Raw genomic sequence first — 15,123 nt, 5'->3', positions numbered from 1 at the left:
ATGCCATATTTTCACTGTACCTTTTCTATGTTAGATATGTTAGATACACAATACTTACCATTGTGTTACAGTTGCCTACAGCATTTAATACAGTCACACGCTGCCCAGATTTGTAGCCTAGGAGCATAGGCTGTGCCATATAGCCAGGGTGTAGTCAGCTGTACCACTGAGGTTTCTGTAAGGCACTCAGCGATGTTCACATAGGGACAAAATCACCTAACGATGCGTTTCTCAGCATGTGTCTGTCTTTAATGTCATATGATGGTACTAACTCTTGGGATTGTCAAAGACATTATTCAGTCAATACAGTTTGGTTAGTTTTACTTTTGAGTATTGTTTCTCTTAAAACCTGTGTTAGAGGACCATATGTAGCTTAGAGAGTCCTCAACCACTGGGTGCACAAGTTATTTCTTTGGTATTTTTTGGAAACATTTGTATCGCTAAGGGCTCTCATCATTCAAAGCGAATTTTGGTAATTCTGAAGTGTTGTAGAGTTGGCACACAGAAGCTCCTGGGCCTTGTCCAGGCAACCCTATGGATAACTTAAAGTCGGATATACTCACGATTCTACCTAACTCTATAACTTACTGGCTTTGCGCCTTTGGGTGGCTCACCCCTCCAAGATGTCGTTTCCTTATTTGTAAAATGGGTGATAAGGAATATGACCTCACAGAGTCACTTATCTATGTGTGATGATATATGACGCTTATTTAGTAGGCATTCAAGTGCATGCTGGCCACTGCCATTTGTAAAACTGCCCACGTGCCCCAAGAAGCTTCCCTTCTAGAGAATTACTAAACTGTCTCAAAATCGACCAAAATCACTCCGATTTTTTTTTTTTTTTTTTGAGAGGGAGTCTCACTTTGTCGCCCAGGCTGGAGTGCAGTGGCGCGATCTCGGCTCACTGCAGGCTCCGCCTCCTGGGTTCACGCCATTCTCCTGCCTCAGCCTCCCAAGTAGCTGGGACTACAGGTGCCTGCCACCATGCCCGGCTAATTTTTTGTATTTTTAGTATAGACAGGGTTTCACTGTGTTAGCCAGGATGGTCTCGATCTCCTGACCTCATGATCCGCCCGCCTCGGCCTCCCAAAGTGCTGGGATTACAAGCATGAGCCACCGCGCCCGGCCACTCCTTCGGATTTTAAGCCTGTGCTAATGGCGTGTCCGCTGGCCGTGTGGGAGTGGAAGGTTCTCTTGGGCAGTTAGCCGTCACAGTGAGTGGGACAGATGCATAGGCCAAGTCCACGCTGATTCAGGATATTCCATTCAGACTTGCTTAAGGATGCAGGAAGAGACACAAAAGCTAAAACCATATCTGAGAAGTTATTTAAGTTTAAAAGGCAAGATAATCTTCAAAGCCATCATTTCGACCTGAGGTCCCCTGAAAGTTCTGAAGAGATCATGCAAGTCGCCTCCTGGAAAGATGACAGAGCCCTGGGTGTGTGCTGGGACCGAAGCGGCGCCCGCCTGCTGCACCCCCTGGTGCCACCATGTTCTTATGCTGCCATTGTGTGGGGGACTCCAAAGGGCCCTTCTCTTCCTCCTCATGGCTCTTCTGTTTCTTTCCACTTTTCTTCTCACACGCTATAAATATCAATTTATAGTGATATTTCCAATTCAAATGTAGGATTAAAGGACTTTTACTTGTTTCATTTTTTATCAATATATCTCCAGTGTTGAAAACATTGGTTTCTAACATGATCGTACTTAATTATTTGCCATCTTACGATAATGCATCCATGCATGCACCCATACACGTGACTGTCTCAGAATAAGAATCTCAATGCTGCTGCTGATATGGGAACAGTATAGTTTTGAAAATAGTTTTACTTTTTTTGCAGTTTTTTTTGAGGGAAAAAATATTTCTTCTTTTATTCTAATAATTTTTAAAAATTTTTTGCCAAAAATTTTTCCACTAAATAGATGCATTCAAATTCTATGTGGTAATGTCCTTGAAATAAGTGCTCCCGTAAGGCTCTCCCACCAACTCACTGCACAGTTAGGTTAAGTGGTTTCATTTTGGCTTTTAATTTTTAGGGATTGCTTTTACTTATAAAACAGAATTGAATATAGTTATCTAAGATAGTAACCTGATGCCAAAACAAAGCATTTGGGTAGTTTAGCTTTTGTTGCTCTCTGTGTCCTAGTCTCCCTTGTAAACGTGGATTGGGAAATCCACAGTATTATCACACTGATAGATCAACATGATAATGTGTTACAAACAAGTTTCAGCTTATTCCAAGAATAGAACCCTCCCTGTTATCATTCTAATAAAGATATTGTAATTCATGTTTATAAACTGAAGGGGAAAAATTATATGATCATCTCAATAGATGGAAAATATCATTTAATACCAAGTAAAACCCATTAAAAAGGTTTGCATGAATAATTTTATAATAAGACATCATTCTTGGGGGTGAAATATTGGAAGCACATCCCTGAGACAGAGTGAGACATACACGCTCCTGCACTGATGGTCCCAGCCAGGGCTACGAGCTGAGAGGAAGTACAGAGAGAAGGAAGGAAAGCTGGCATTTTGTTGTTGTTACAAAAGTCTGGTTGTGTAGAAACTAGACCCCTGTCTCTTGCCATGTACAAAAATCAAATCAAAATGGATTAAAGACTTAAATCTAAGACCTCACATTATGGAAATACTAATGGAAAACACTGGGGGGAAACTCTAGGACATTGGTCTGGGCAAAATGTCTTGAGTAATACTCTGCAAGCACTGGCAGCCAAAGCAAAAATGGACAAATGGGGTCAAATCAAGTTTAACAAGCACCCAAAGGAAACAATCAACAAAGTGAAGAGGCAGCCCAGAGAACGGGAGAAAATATCTGCAAACTACCCATTGGCGAGGGATTGATAACCAGAATATATAAGGAGCCCAAACAGCTCAACAGGAAAAAACTCTAGTAATTCAGTTAAGAAAGGAAAAGGATCTGAATCGACATTTCTCGAAAGAAGACAATGCAAATGGCAAAAAGGCTTATGAAAAGGTGCTCAACATCATGGGTTATCAAAGAAATGCAGATCAAAACTACAGTGAGCTATCATCCCACCCCAGTTAAAATGGCTTTTATCCAAAAGTCAGGCAAGAACAAATGCTGGCGAGGATGTGAAGAAAAGGGAACCCTCACACACTGCGGAGGGAACATGGATTAGTCCAGCCACCATGGATATAAGTTTATAGTCGAGTACATGTATGTCCTTAAGTTATCGAATAAGATCATAGTAGTTAAAAGAGTGGTGTGGCTCAAGGAAAGACAAGTAATTGGAACAGGGTAAGGTCCAGAAGCCCACAGGTAGAGACTGTTGCTCCGTGGCCTGTGGTGCTGAGAGCCGTGGGGCCTGGGCCTAAGTAGGCAGCACTGGCTAATTTTAAACAGCTCAAAATATACTATTTTACTATACTAAGTTTAGATGTTTAATGTTAAAATTTTAAAGGCATACACCAACAAATGCTGGTGAGGATGTGAGAAGACTCTTACGCTGCTGGTTCTGGATAAACTGGAATAACCACTTTGGAATACTGTTAGGCAGGAACCAGTGCCGAACTCAGGACTACTCTGACCCAGCATTCTCTCTCCTAGGTGTAGTGCCCAATGGAAGTGTGTCTCAGGCACACCAGGCCTCGTTCCCATAGCTAGAGCGTCTCAGGCACACCAGGCCCCGTTCCCATACCTAGAGCGTCTCAGGCACACCAGGCCCTGTTCCCAAAGCTAGAGTGTCTCAGGCACACCAGGCCCCGTTCCCATAGCTAGAGTGTCTCAGGGACACCAGGCCCCATTCCCAAAGCTAGAGTGTCTCAGGGACACCAGGCCCTGTTCCCAAAGCTAGAGTGTCTCAGGCACACCAGGCCATGTTTCCATAGCCAGAGCATCTCAGGGACACCAGGCCATGTTCCCATAGCCAGAACGTCTCAGGGACACCAGGCCCCATTCCTATAGCCAGAGTGTCTCAGGCACACCAGGCCATGTTCCTATAGCTAGAGCGTCTGAGGGATACCAGGCCCTGTTCCCATAGCTAGAGCATCTCAGGCACACCAGGCCCTGTTCCCAAAGCTAGAGTGTCTCAGGCACACCAGGCCATGTTCCCATAGCCAGAGTGTCTCAGGGACACCAGGCCACGTTCCCATAGCCAGAGTGTCTCAGGGACACCAGGCCACGTTCCCATAGCCAGAGCATCTCAGGGACACCAGGCCCTGTTCCCATAGCCAGAGCATCTCAGGCACACCAGGCCATGTTCCTATAGCTAGAGCGTTTCAGGGACACCAGGCCCTGTTCCCAAAGGTAGAGTGTCTCAGGCACACCAGGTCCCATTCCCATAGCTAGAGCGTCTCAGGGACACCAGGCCCTGTTCCCAAAGCTAGAGTGTCTCAGGCACACCAGGCCATGTTCCCATAGCCAGAGTGTCTCAGGGACACCAGGCCACGTTCCCATAGCCAGAGCGTCTCAGGGACACCAGGCCCTGTTCCCATAGCCAGAGCGTCTCAGGCATACCAGGCCATGTTCCTATAGCTAGAGCGTTTCAGGGACACCAGGCCTCGTTCCCATAGCTAGAGCGTCTCAGGCACACCAGGCCCTGTTCCCAAAGCTAGAGTGTCTCAGGCCACCAGCCCCCGTTCCCAGAGCTAGAGCGTCTCAGGGACACCAGGCCCCGTTCCCAAAGCTAGAGTGTCTCAGGCACACCAGGCCCCGTTCCCAAAGCCAGAGTGTCTCAGGCACACCAGGCCCCGTTCCCAAAGCCAGAGCGTCTCAGGGATACCAGGCCCTGTTCCCAAAGCTAGAGTGTCTCAGGCACACCAGGCCCCGTTCCCATAGCTAGAGAGTCTCAAGGACACCAGGCCCCGTTCCCAAAGCTAGAGTGTCTCAGGCACACCAGGCCCCGTTCCCATAGCTAGAGTGTCTCAGGGACATCAGGCCCCGTTCCCAAAGCTAGAGTGTCTCAGGGACACCAGGCCTGTTCCCAAAGCTAGAGTGTTTCAGGCACACCAGGCCATGTTCCCATAGCCAGAGCGTCTCAGGCACACCAGGCCATGTTCCCATAGCTAGAGCGTCTCAGGGACACCAGGCCATGTTCCCATAGCTAGAGCGTCTTAGGGATACCAGGCCCCATTCCCATAGCCAGGGTGTCTCAGGCATACCAGGCCCCGTTCCCATAGCCAGAGCATCTCAGGGACACCAGGCCCCGTTCCCATAGCCAGAGCGTCTCAGGCACACCAGGCCCCGTTCCCATAGCCAGGGTGTCTCAGACACACCAGGCCCTGTTCCCATAGCCAGGGCTCCTCTGGGGGGAGAGGTGGTCATTGGAAGGGGCCACAGGAACATCTGGGTGCTGAGATGCCCTCGCTTGCATCTGCATGGGGGTGACATGCGCATATTCATCTTGTGATAACTTATTAAGCTGTTCATGTATGAGTTTTTATACTTTTTTATATGTGTTACACGACAGTAAAATAGTATATTTTAAAAATTTGTGTAAAGAAATAAAAGACAAAAGTTGGTGGGGAAAAGATGGGAAGTAGTGTAAATATTGTTATTTATCTTTTGTAACCAAGCATCAAAAGATATTGTTTAAAGCTCATAAATGAAGTAAAACAGGTATACATAGGTTGAAAGATGTTAGAGATATGAATAGAATGTTTCTAAAATCAGATGGCAAAAGGAAGGAGGACAATAATTATTATTGCCCAGATTAGAGTATTGATACCATCCAAAGAAGAAGATGATATGTTTTATGAAGTGAAGGTATAAAGGTAACCACTGGGACACAGTGTCACTGCCTGGCTGTTAGAAGAAATACAGGTGATATAGTAGAAGATTATCACCCTCAAACCGGAAAGCATGGTATAAATATGAAGACAGAACTAAGAGCAGATGTACATCACATCAATCAGGGGACTTGGGTTAAACCCACATAATGAAAGAAAAAGCTCCTCAGTAGAGGATGGTGTTTGCTTGATGCCCCTGGGTGGGGGTGCTGGATGGCTTGTAGCTGAGGGCTGAAGGTCATTATCCGGGCAGACCTACAAATTGGGAAGTTCTGGCCGGGCGTGGTGGCTCATGCCTGTAATCCCAGCTCTTAGGGAGGCAGAGGTGGGAGCATAGCTTGAGCCCAGGAGTTGGAGAGCTGCCTGGGCAATATAGCAAGACCCCGTTCTCCACAAAAGGGTTGTTGGTGGGGAGAAAAGAAGACAAATTGGGAAGTTCTGGTGTAGAACGAGTGATGTAGATAGTTTATAAAGAAAACAGTGGACACGAACAAAGCATATAAAGCAAATATTCTTCAAAGGAAAGCAGGTTGTAGTTCAGAGCACAAAACAGTAAACATGGCAGGAAGGGCACATTGGAGTGATGGGAGGTGCAGGGCACAGTGAGGACCACGCAGTGTGGGCTTCCTGTAAGGCCCAGCTTGTGCCATATCAGTACTCACTTAGAAAACCACAAGCAAACAAGCAGAAATGGGTCAAAGCACATGGATTTTAGAAGAATATTTCAGTTTCTTACAGACTATGAAAGATAAAATGCACATAAATAAGGAAATATGAAAATTCATAACTGCCTATATTAATAAATTGGAGAGAATGAAAGTAAATAAACATCCCACTCAAAAAGTTGGAAAAGCAGGAATGAAACCTAAAGAAAAAGCCAAAGGACATAATTAGTAAAGATGAGAGCGAAAATCAGTGAATCGGAAACAAAGAAGTTAATAAAGTCCAAGAGCTGGGCCTTTTGGGGGGCCAAGGAGTGGAGGGAAATTAAGCCATGAATGAATCTGAGAGGTAGCGGGAGGAGAAGGCACAAACATACAAAACAAGTGAGAAAGAACTTACTCTTTCGCTCAGCTCTGTGGAAAAAAATCTACTTGAAGGAAATCATTTTCCATAGGTTTCCGAAATTGGCCCCATGAGAGAAAGGAAATTGTAAGCAGAGCAAATACTAAAGAAGAAACAAAGCCATCGAAGGGCTCCCACCAAAAAGCGTCAGGTCAGCTGTGCTGAGAAAGACTCCCAAACGCACCGATGGTCAGCTTTGTGCTCTGTGAACTGTTCCAAGTTTCTAAATTGTGTAAGAAGAATCACGAAGCTGATACCCTATCTGAGAAAAAACAAATCTGGGTTGTAAATATTGATGGAGAAATCTCACATGAAATATAATTGAAAAAAGGCTAGATTTAAAAGCATAATTTATGAAGACTAGGATTTATTTCAGGAATGCATAGGTTTGGGAAATCCAGTAATATAATTCACCATATTTGACAAGTGAATTAAATCATGGCCAGGAGCGGTGGCTCCCGCCTGTAATCCCAGCACTTTGGGAGGCTGAGGCAGGCAGATCACCTGAGATCAGGAGTTCGAGACAAGCCTGGCCAACATGGTGAAACCCTGTCTCTACTAAAAATACAAAATTAGCCAGGTGTGGTGGTTCATGCCTGTAATCCCGGCTACCTGGGAGGCTGAGGCAGAAGAATCACTTGAACCCAGGAGGCCGAGGTTGCAGTGAGCTGAGATCATGCCATTGTACTCCAGCATGGGAGAGCGAAACTCCATCTCAAAAAACAAACAAACAAACAAACATAATTCCTATATATGCTATCTGAGAAGACATTTAATCAAATTCATCATTGATTGAAAATGATCTTAAAAATAGAAATAAACGGGTATATCTCCAGTACCAAAAAGTACATCATGGTTAGGGAACTAGAAGCATTCTCACTAAAGTCAAGATAATAGTTTAAAGGGTGCTGACGCCTTGGGCCAGCTGGTTCCACTTTCACACATACTGTCTTTGTTATATAAAAACGTGTACAGCACGAGGGAAGGATAGAAGGCTGTTCATCCCATGAAATGAGATGAATTATATACCTTGTTACATGTTATACAATGTGATATTAAAAACAACAGAGGCAGTCTCAAATGTGTTCATATGAAATATTTTCAACACACATTGTTAACTGGAAAAAGTAAGCTGGAGAGCAGTCTGGCATCAGAAAATTATTGTGAAAGTGTTGAACAGTACAGAGAGGCATAAAAAGCAGACACCTCCTGCTCCTCACATACCTGTTTTCAGCCCTACTCTGTAATCTGTTTTCCATCGTGATTTTACTGACATTTGGTACTTTTGATTGTTCAGGGCCAGTGGGGAGTGACGGCAGCAGAGGAAGAGGAGGAAAATAAGAGGATTGGAGAATTTAAAGAATCTATACCAAAAATGTGCTCACAGTTGCGAATATTGACCCATTTCTACCAGGTGTGTATGAGGATACAGAGTGGCTCTTCACACCACTCTGCCCATGTTCTGTACCTGACAGTTGCTTTCACAGTGATGAGAGCAGAGTCAGCCCTGTCAGTCTGACACTTATTTGTGTAGGTGTGAGTAGCACCCATGGTGGACCCTGTGACCCTCTGGGGGACTCGGGTATGCCTGGGCTCCGGGCAGTGCCAGTGTGCCATCAGTGAGAACCCTGGCCAAAGGGTGGCCCCTGTGGTGGGATGCGGGCACCCGGGGGTGGCCCCAGTGCTCCCCTGTGTTGGGGTGTGGGGACCTGGGCGTGGCCCCTGTGCTCCCCTGTGTTGGGGTGTGGGGACCTGGGCGTGGCCCCTGTGCTCCCCTGTGGTGGGTGTGGGGACCCGGGGGTGGCCCCTGTGCTCCCCTGTGGTGGGTGTGGGGACCTGGGGGTGGCCCCTGTGCTCCACTGTGGTGGGATGTGGGGACCTGGGGGTGGCCCCTGTGCTCCACTGTGGTGGGTGTGGGGACCTGGGGGTGGCCCCTGTGCTCCACTGTGGTGGGATGTGGGGACCTGGGGGTGGCCCCTGTGCTCCACTGTGGTGGGTGTGGGGACCTGGGGGTGACCCCTTTGCTCCCCTGTGGTGGGTGTGGGGACCTGGGGGTGACCCCTGTGCTCCCCTGTGGTGGGTGTGGGGACCTGGGGGTGGCCCCTGTGCTCCCCTGTGGTGGGTGTGGGGACCTGGGGGTGGCTCCTGTGCTCCCCTGTGGTGGGTGTGGGGACCTGGGGGTGACCCCTTTGCTCCCCTGTGGTGGGTGTGGGGACCTGGGGGTGACCCCTGTGCTCCCCTGTGGTGGGTGTGGAGACCTGGGGGTGGCTCCTGTGCTCCCCTGTGGTGGGTGTGGGGACCTGGGGGTGACCCCTGTGCTCCCCTGTGGTGGGATGTGGGGACCTGGGGGTGACCCCTGTGCTCCCCTGTGGTGGGTGTGGGGACCTGGGGGTGGCCCCTGCGCTCCCCCGTGGTGGGATTGTGGGGACCTGCAGGCGTCTCTGTAGCCTTCATTTGGGTTTTTCAGTGACTCCCGATGGGGACTGTCCCTGAGACAGCTGCCCAGCCTGGGTGAGGGGCCGGCAGCCAGCAGACATGGTGTAGACCCCGGAAGGCTGGGGACGGCTGCTCTGCATGTCTGTCCCTCTGCTTTTGCCTCCATGTATGGGTCCAGTTTCTCATTTCCTCCATTTCTCAATGTGATCTTAGTGATAGTAGAGATGAAAAGATTTCATGAAAAATATTTCTGTTCAGTCGCTGATCACTAATCATGGAGCATCAAGCCTCCAGCCCTCCAACATCGTGGGTTTGTGTGCTGGTGCCTTCATGTGGTTCAAAATTGAAAGTGAGACCGCACTCGCTCTTTCTGTGGGCATCTAGTTTGCTTCCCAGGTCCTCAAACTTTTTTTTTTTTTTTTTTTTTGAGACCAAGTCTTGCTCTGTCACCCAGGCTGCAGTGCAGTGGTGTGATCTTGGCTCACTGCAATCCCCGTCTCCTGGGTTCAAACGATGCTACTGCCTCAGCCTCCCGAGTAGCTGGGATTACAGGCACGCGCCACCACACCCGGCTAATTGTTGTATTTTTAGTAGAGACAGGGTTTCACCATGTTGGCCAGGCTGGTCTTGAACTCCTGACCTCAAGTGATCCACCCGCCTCAGCTTCCCAAAGTGCTGGGATTACAGGCATGAGCCACCATGCCCGGCCCTCATACTTTTTAAATATTTATTTTTCTTCACGATAACTAAGGAGGAACGTTGTCCCTTTTACAAGTGGTCTTAGTCTGACCTTGGCCTACTTTTGCATTTTTGTTGAAGTTTCATAAAAGGGGGTAGTGACTGGCCAGTCATGTTCCGTGAACAGGCATCCCTGTTGGATGGTGTTTTGACACGATGCCTTCTTGAACTCATGTTATTTGTACAGTATGTATTCCTGTTTCTTAAAAATGGACACCTAATGGTTAGATCCATATGATTCACTAAAATCAGACTTACAAATCCTTTGTATAGCTACAAAGGAGCAATGTGTAATTTTAAAGATTTGTCTGTGTGCTTATTTCTGAGACAACGATGTTCTTGTTTATGGTTACACATTTCCCTGAGGGAGTTAATACATTTTTAAAAAGTAATCACTGTAATCCCAATTTTACTCAAATTACAGTCTTAAATCTGAATGGTAATGATTTACAAAGAAGATTCTTTTCTGTAACAGCAGAAATCCGTCTCTGCTCTCTGTGGCGGTGCCAGCGACGGCAGGCTGTTATCGCCATTGACTGTGAAAGAACATCCAGTCTCAACCTGTGGAAGAAATATTCTTAGATTTCCTTTTAGTAGTTCCACAGACCGTTGTATTTCAGTTTCATCACATCATCACATAATAGGAAGTCACTGTCTATATTTTGGCAATATAACTTCTTAGGCGTGTTCTTCTTCCCTCACCTAAAAAGGCAGTGATACACACACACACACACACAGACACACACACACACACACACACACACACATACACAGTGTTTGCCTGCTCAGAGGTGAAGTTACTTTATCAACACAGCAGAGCCTGTGCCCAGGCCTGCCTGTGAGCTTCAGCATTCGTGTTTCTGACCAGAAGCTGGGAAGGGGCAGTGACAGCTGGTGAAGACTTGGGCGGGGCTTGGTGAGGACGCAGTGCCTCAGTGAGTTTTCTCTGCAGATGAGGCCTTTCCAGGCCAGCAGTTCTGTGAACAGATCAGCACCCCGTGGCATGCAGCAGGCTCCAGCACTGGGCGGGGATGGGCCTGTACTCAGTATGCAAGTCTTTCAGCCTGAAATAGAAGCAGCCAGTCCTTTCGTCTTATCAGAGTTAGGGGAAACTTCTGTCACATCTTTAAAAACGCCCTCAGTAACAGGATGATGGCGATGCCAGTGCCCATGAAGAGGGCGGCTGCAGCCTCACGTCCAGCAGCTAGACCCAAAGACCCGACTGATGCTCTCAATTTGTTCTCCAGCAAGGGCTCTAGGATGAAATCCTCTTTCATGAGTCATATGAAAGATGAAATATGTGGCACTGAGTTTTGTATTCAAAATAGAATGTTCTAACATCTGTTACTTTGCTGTTTTGCTTATTCTTGTGGAACTTAAGAACAAAGTGAAAAAACCTGTTGGTTAGTTGTTTTCAAATCAAATGTATTCTTCACTAATTTGTCCTTGTAAAAGGGCGCCCATTCCTAATGCAGGTGCACTGGCCGTGTGCACTCCAGGGTCCCAGCAGCTCTTGCTCCCTGGACACCTGCCCTGGTGGGCATTTACTAAGGGCCTGTTGATCTGGAAGGAAAAACAGACCCAACCCAAAGGAGATTAAGGTCCGGGGAATACGTTTGTGGGTTGTTCTTTTCTGAAACAATATTTTACTCCTTTTGCTTCTTTTTAGGGTATCGTGCAGCAGTTTTTGGTGTTACTGACGACCAGCTCTGACGAGAGTCTTCGGTTTCTTAGCTTCAGGCTGGACTTCAACGAGCATTACAAAGCCAGGGAGCCCAGGCTCCGTGTGTCTCTGGGTACCAGGGGGCGGCGCAGCTCCCACACGTGAAGCTCGCGGTCCTCCCAGGGAGCTGCGGGTGATGTTCGTTGCACTGCTAGACACGAAATTCCCATTGACGTCCTGCAGGAACTGCATGCTGCAGGTGTCCTGCCCTTCCGCCCACGAGTGCGCCATGTTTCAGCGGAGCGGCGTGTGGGAGAAGCCACGTCGTGTTTCACATGTCGGAGTCGAATGCATTTGTAAATCCCTAAGTCAAGTAGGCTGGCTGCACTGTTCACATTTGTCTCTAAAAGTCTTCATCGCTAAAAGATACCATAATTTGCTGAGGCTTCTTAAGCTTTCTATGTTATAATTTATATTTGTCACTTTAAAAAATCCATTTCTTTTAGAAAAAATTAGGGTGATAGGATATTCATTAGTTAAGATGGTAACGTCATTGCTATTTTTTTAACATCCTCTTTAGAGGTAATTTTTGTTAACATAACCAAAAATTAAATTGAAACAAAATGTCCCAACTAAGAAAATATATAGAGCATTTTATTTTTTTTTAGTGTTGTAAAATATTAACCTCTGTGAGATCCTTTGTATCTTAATGCATTACCTTTACACATATTTATTCTTATTTTCTCTCCTTTCAGAGTTTACATTTTTATATTTAATTTACTATTTCAGATTTTTAAAATAGTATAGAAAAAAGTAGGAGTGATAGAGAACAAAAATACTCTTATACAGTGCAACCCAAATACCGCGAATGCATCAGCTAAAGCAGCGTGTAAATAGGAGTGACGAGAAAGTTAATGGAGTATTTTATTTTCAAAGTTCCTGATAAGCATTGGAAAGAAATCGACATGGATAATGAAGATTTCCTTTTTCCTTGCCTATTTTTTCATTGTAAATATTTATATACTACTGACCAAGATGTTGGGGTGGGGGGGATTGTTTTTTGTAAAAATGTCATTATCAGGTCACATAAATCTGCCTTTATGTTGCATAAGTGAAAATTTAGAAAATTAAAAGCAATTATCTTTCAGATGCATTCGTTATTTCTTGAGTAGTTTATGAAGGGACAGTTTACTTGCTGGATTTGGGGGTTGAGGGTTGGTAGAATTTGATTTAATATAGTACAGCATATGAATTATTTAATCAGTGAAACCAGGAAAGTAGACTTTGTGTGACTTTTGGTATAGAAGCAAAGGCAATGTCACCGCTCAGGTCTCAGGAGCGGTGCTTTAGTTATCTGAATCCACCTCTGACTCCTTTAGGTGTGGATTACCTTTAAAACTAAAGGGGCTGTCAGGAATCCTGGCCATGCAGAAATGAATTCATGGCAAAGGCCAGAAATTCAATGTAATTTTAGTTTTGAAGTTCATAAAATCAGAAATTTGAAACAGGTTTTTCTACTGCAAGGTTTTTTAGAAATTATTGCATATTGTTTATCTCCACGAGAGGTTTACCAAGGTAATTGACCATGCAGCCAGCTTTTATTTTATTTTATTCAGAGAGTTGTTCCAGGGATTAATCCTCAGTAGAAACCACCCTAGCAAAGGCCCACCTCGATTTTAGGGATTACGATTCCATTGGAGTGTAGGAGTCACCAGGACTTAGGTCAGATTTGTGGGCTATGGAGGGCTTCCGGGAGGTGCGGCCCTGGGGGGTGCCTGCGGGTCTGGAGGGTGGGAGCTGGGATGGGGTGAGGCCTCTGAGGAGCTGCGTGAGACCCACTCTCCATCATTGTGGATGCACAGTCAGGCCCCTTAGGGAGCCAGGACCCCAAAACCCAGCATCAGCCAAGCATAGATGACTTGGGGGCTCCACACTGGGGTTGTGCGGAAAGGAAAACCCACAGTGTGGGCGACCGCACCAAGCTCTGGGAGGGTCACGTCTTTATCCAGAAAATGCTAACCACTCTTACCTGTCACGCTTGTGGTAAATATTAGTGATGCTGTATCTATAGGGTCCTGGGCAGCTCAAGCAGGCCACCTGGCTCCGTCTGCGAGGACACCTCTTACCCACCAGGAAGTTTGGTGACTGCGGCCGAGGGCACAGATATCCTTTGTTAGAAGGGCTGGCCGCCCTCATATCCTGTTGCATGGGCAGGTTCGACTGGAGAGGGGAATATTCTTGCCTTTCTTGCCTGGTTGTCGACTGCAGTGTTCATGGCATCATGATTCTCAAGTCCCTCTGGAAAAATGTGCCTCCAGACATTAAAATGTAGGACAGAAGGACACAGCTTTGTTGAAGGAAAAGAGTACTTTTATCAAATAGCCACAGGCATGCTTGAATCGTGTTATGAGGCATATGTGGAAGAGATGTGTGGTGCAGCTGAGGCATATATAAGGGGCAGCCTTCATCCATAAATGATGCATGTGTTCTGAGCGCCCCACTGTGTGACCATTCCCCAGCCTCTCTCCCTCTTCTCAGCCCTCCCTATTCCCAGACACAGCAATATAGAAATAAGGCCAGTTAACCCTACGGTGGCTTCTAAGTGTTCAAGTGAAAGGTAGAGTCACACGTCTCCCACTCTAAATCAAATGCTAGAAATGACTAAGCTCAGCGAGGAAGGCATGTTGAAAGCTGACAGGTCGAAAGGCCTCTTCCGCCAAACAGCTGGTCATGTGAATGCAAAGGAGAAGTTCTTGAAGGAAATTAAAAGTGCTACTCCAGTGAACACAGAAAGATAGGAAAGCAAAACAACCTTATTGCTGATACGGAGAAAGTTGTAGTGGTCTGGTTAGAAGATCAAACCAGCACAACATTCACTTAAGCTAAAGCCTAATCCAGAGCAAGGCCCTAACTTCAATTCTGTGAAGGCTGAGAGAGGTGAGGAGGTTGCAGAAGAAAAGTTGGAAGCTAGCAGAGGTTGATTCATGAGGTTGAAGGAAAGAAGCCATCTCCGTAACACAAGTGCAAGGTGAAGCAGCAAGTGCTGATGGAGAAGCTGCAGCAAGTCATCCAGAAGATCTAGCTGAGATAACAGATCATTCATGAAGGTGGCCACACTAACACATTTTCACTGTAGATGAAAGGGCTTTCTATGGGAAGAAGATGCTATCTAGGACTTTCATAGTTAGAAGTCAGTGCCTAGCTTCAAAGGAGGGGTTGATTGTCTTGCTAGGGGCTAGTTAATGCAGCTGGTGATGTTAAGTTAAAGCCAATGCTCACTGGCCATTCTGAAAATCCTAGGGCACTGAAGAGGGATGCTAAATCTACTCTGCCTGTGCTCCATAAATGAAACAACAAAGCCTGGATGACAACACATCTATTTACAGCCTGGTTTACTGAATATTTTAAATCCCCCTCGAGATCGATTGCTCAGAAAAAAAGGTTATTT

At 46.3% G+C, this 15,123-nt stretch overlaps 1 protein-coding gene across 6 annotated transcripts in view; it reads left to right on the top strand.

The window, feature by feature from the left end:
• The window catches only part of TUBGCP3 (tubulin gamma complex component 3), a 120,620-nt gene extending 107,798 nt beyond the window's left edge, over window positions 1–12,822 (top strand). For all 6 annotated transcript variants that reach the window (XM_017020323.3, NM_001286277.2, XM_011537462.3 and 3 more), the window contains 2 exons: window positions 8,136–8,252; window positions 11,682–12,822. In XM_017020323.3, coding sequence (XP_016875812.1) covers window positions 8,136–8,252; window positions 11,682–11,840 — 276 coding nt within the window. In that variant the 3' untranslated portion in view covers window positions 11,841–12,822. The remainder of the gene's footprint in view (window positions 1–8,135; window positions 8,253–11,681) is intronic.
• Window positions 12,823–15,123: the final 2,301 nt, after the last annotated feature.

This window comes from Homo sapiens, chromosome 13, assembly GCF_000001405.40.
Source record: "Homo sapiens chromosome 13, GRCh38.p14 Primary Assembly".
NCBI classification, from domain to species: domain Eukaryota; kingdom Metazoa; phylum Chordata; class Mammalia; order Primates; family Hominidae; genus Homo; species Homo sapiens.
The sequence above is the reverse complement of the archived record's forward strand: the minus strand, read 5'-3'. Positions and strand labels throughout refer to the sequence as shown.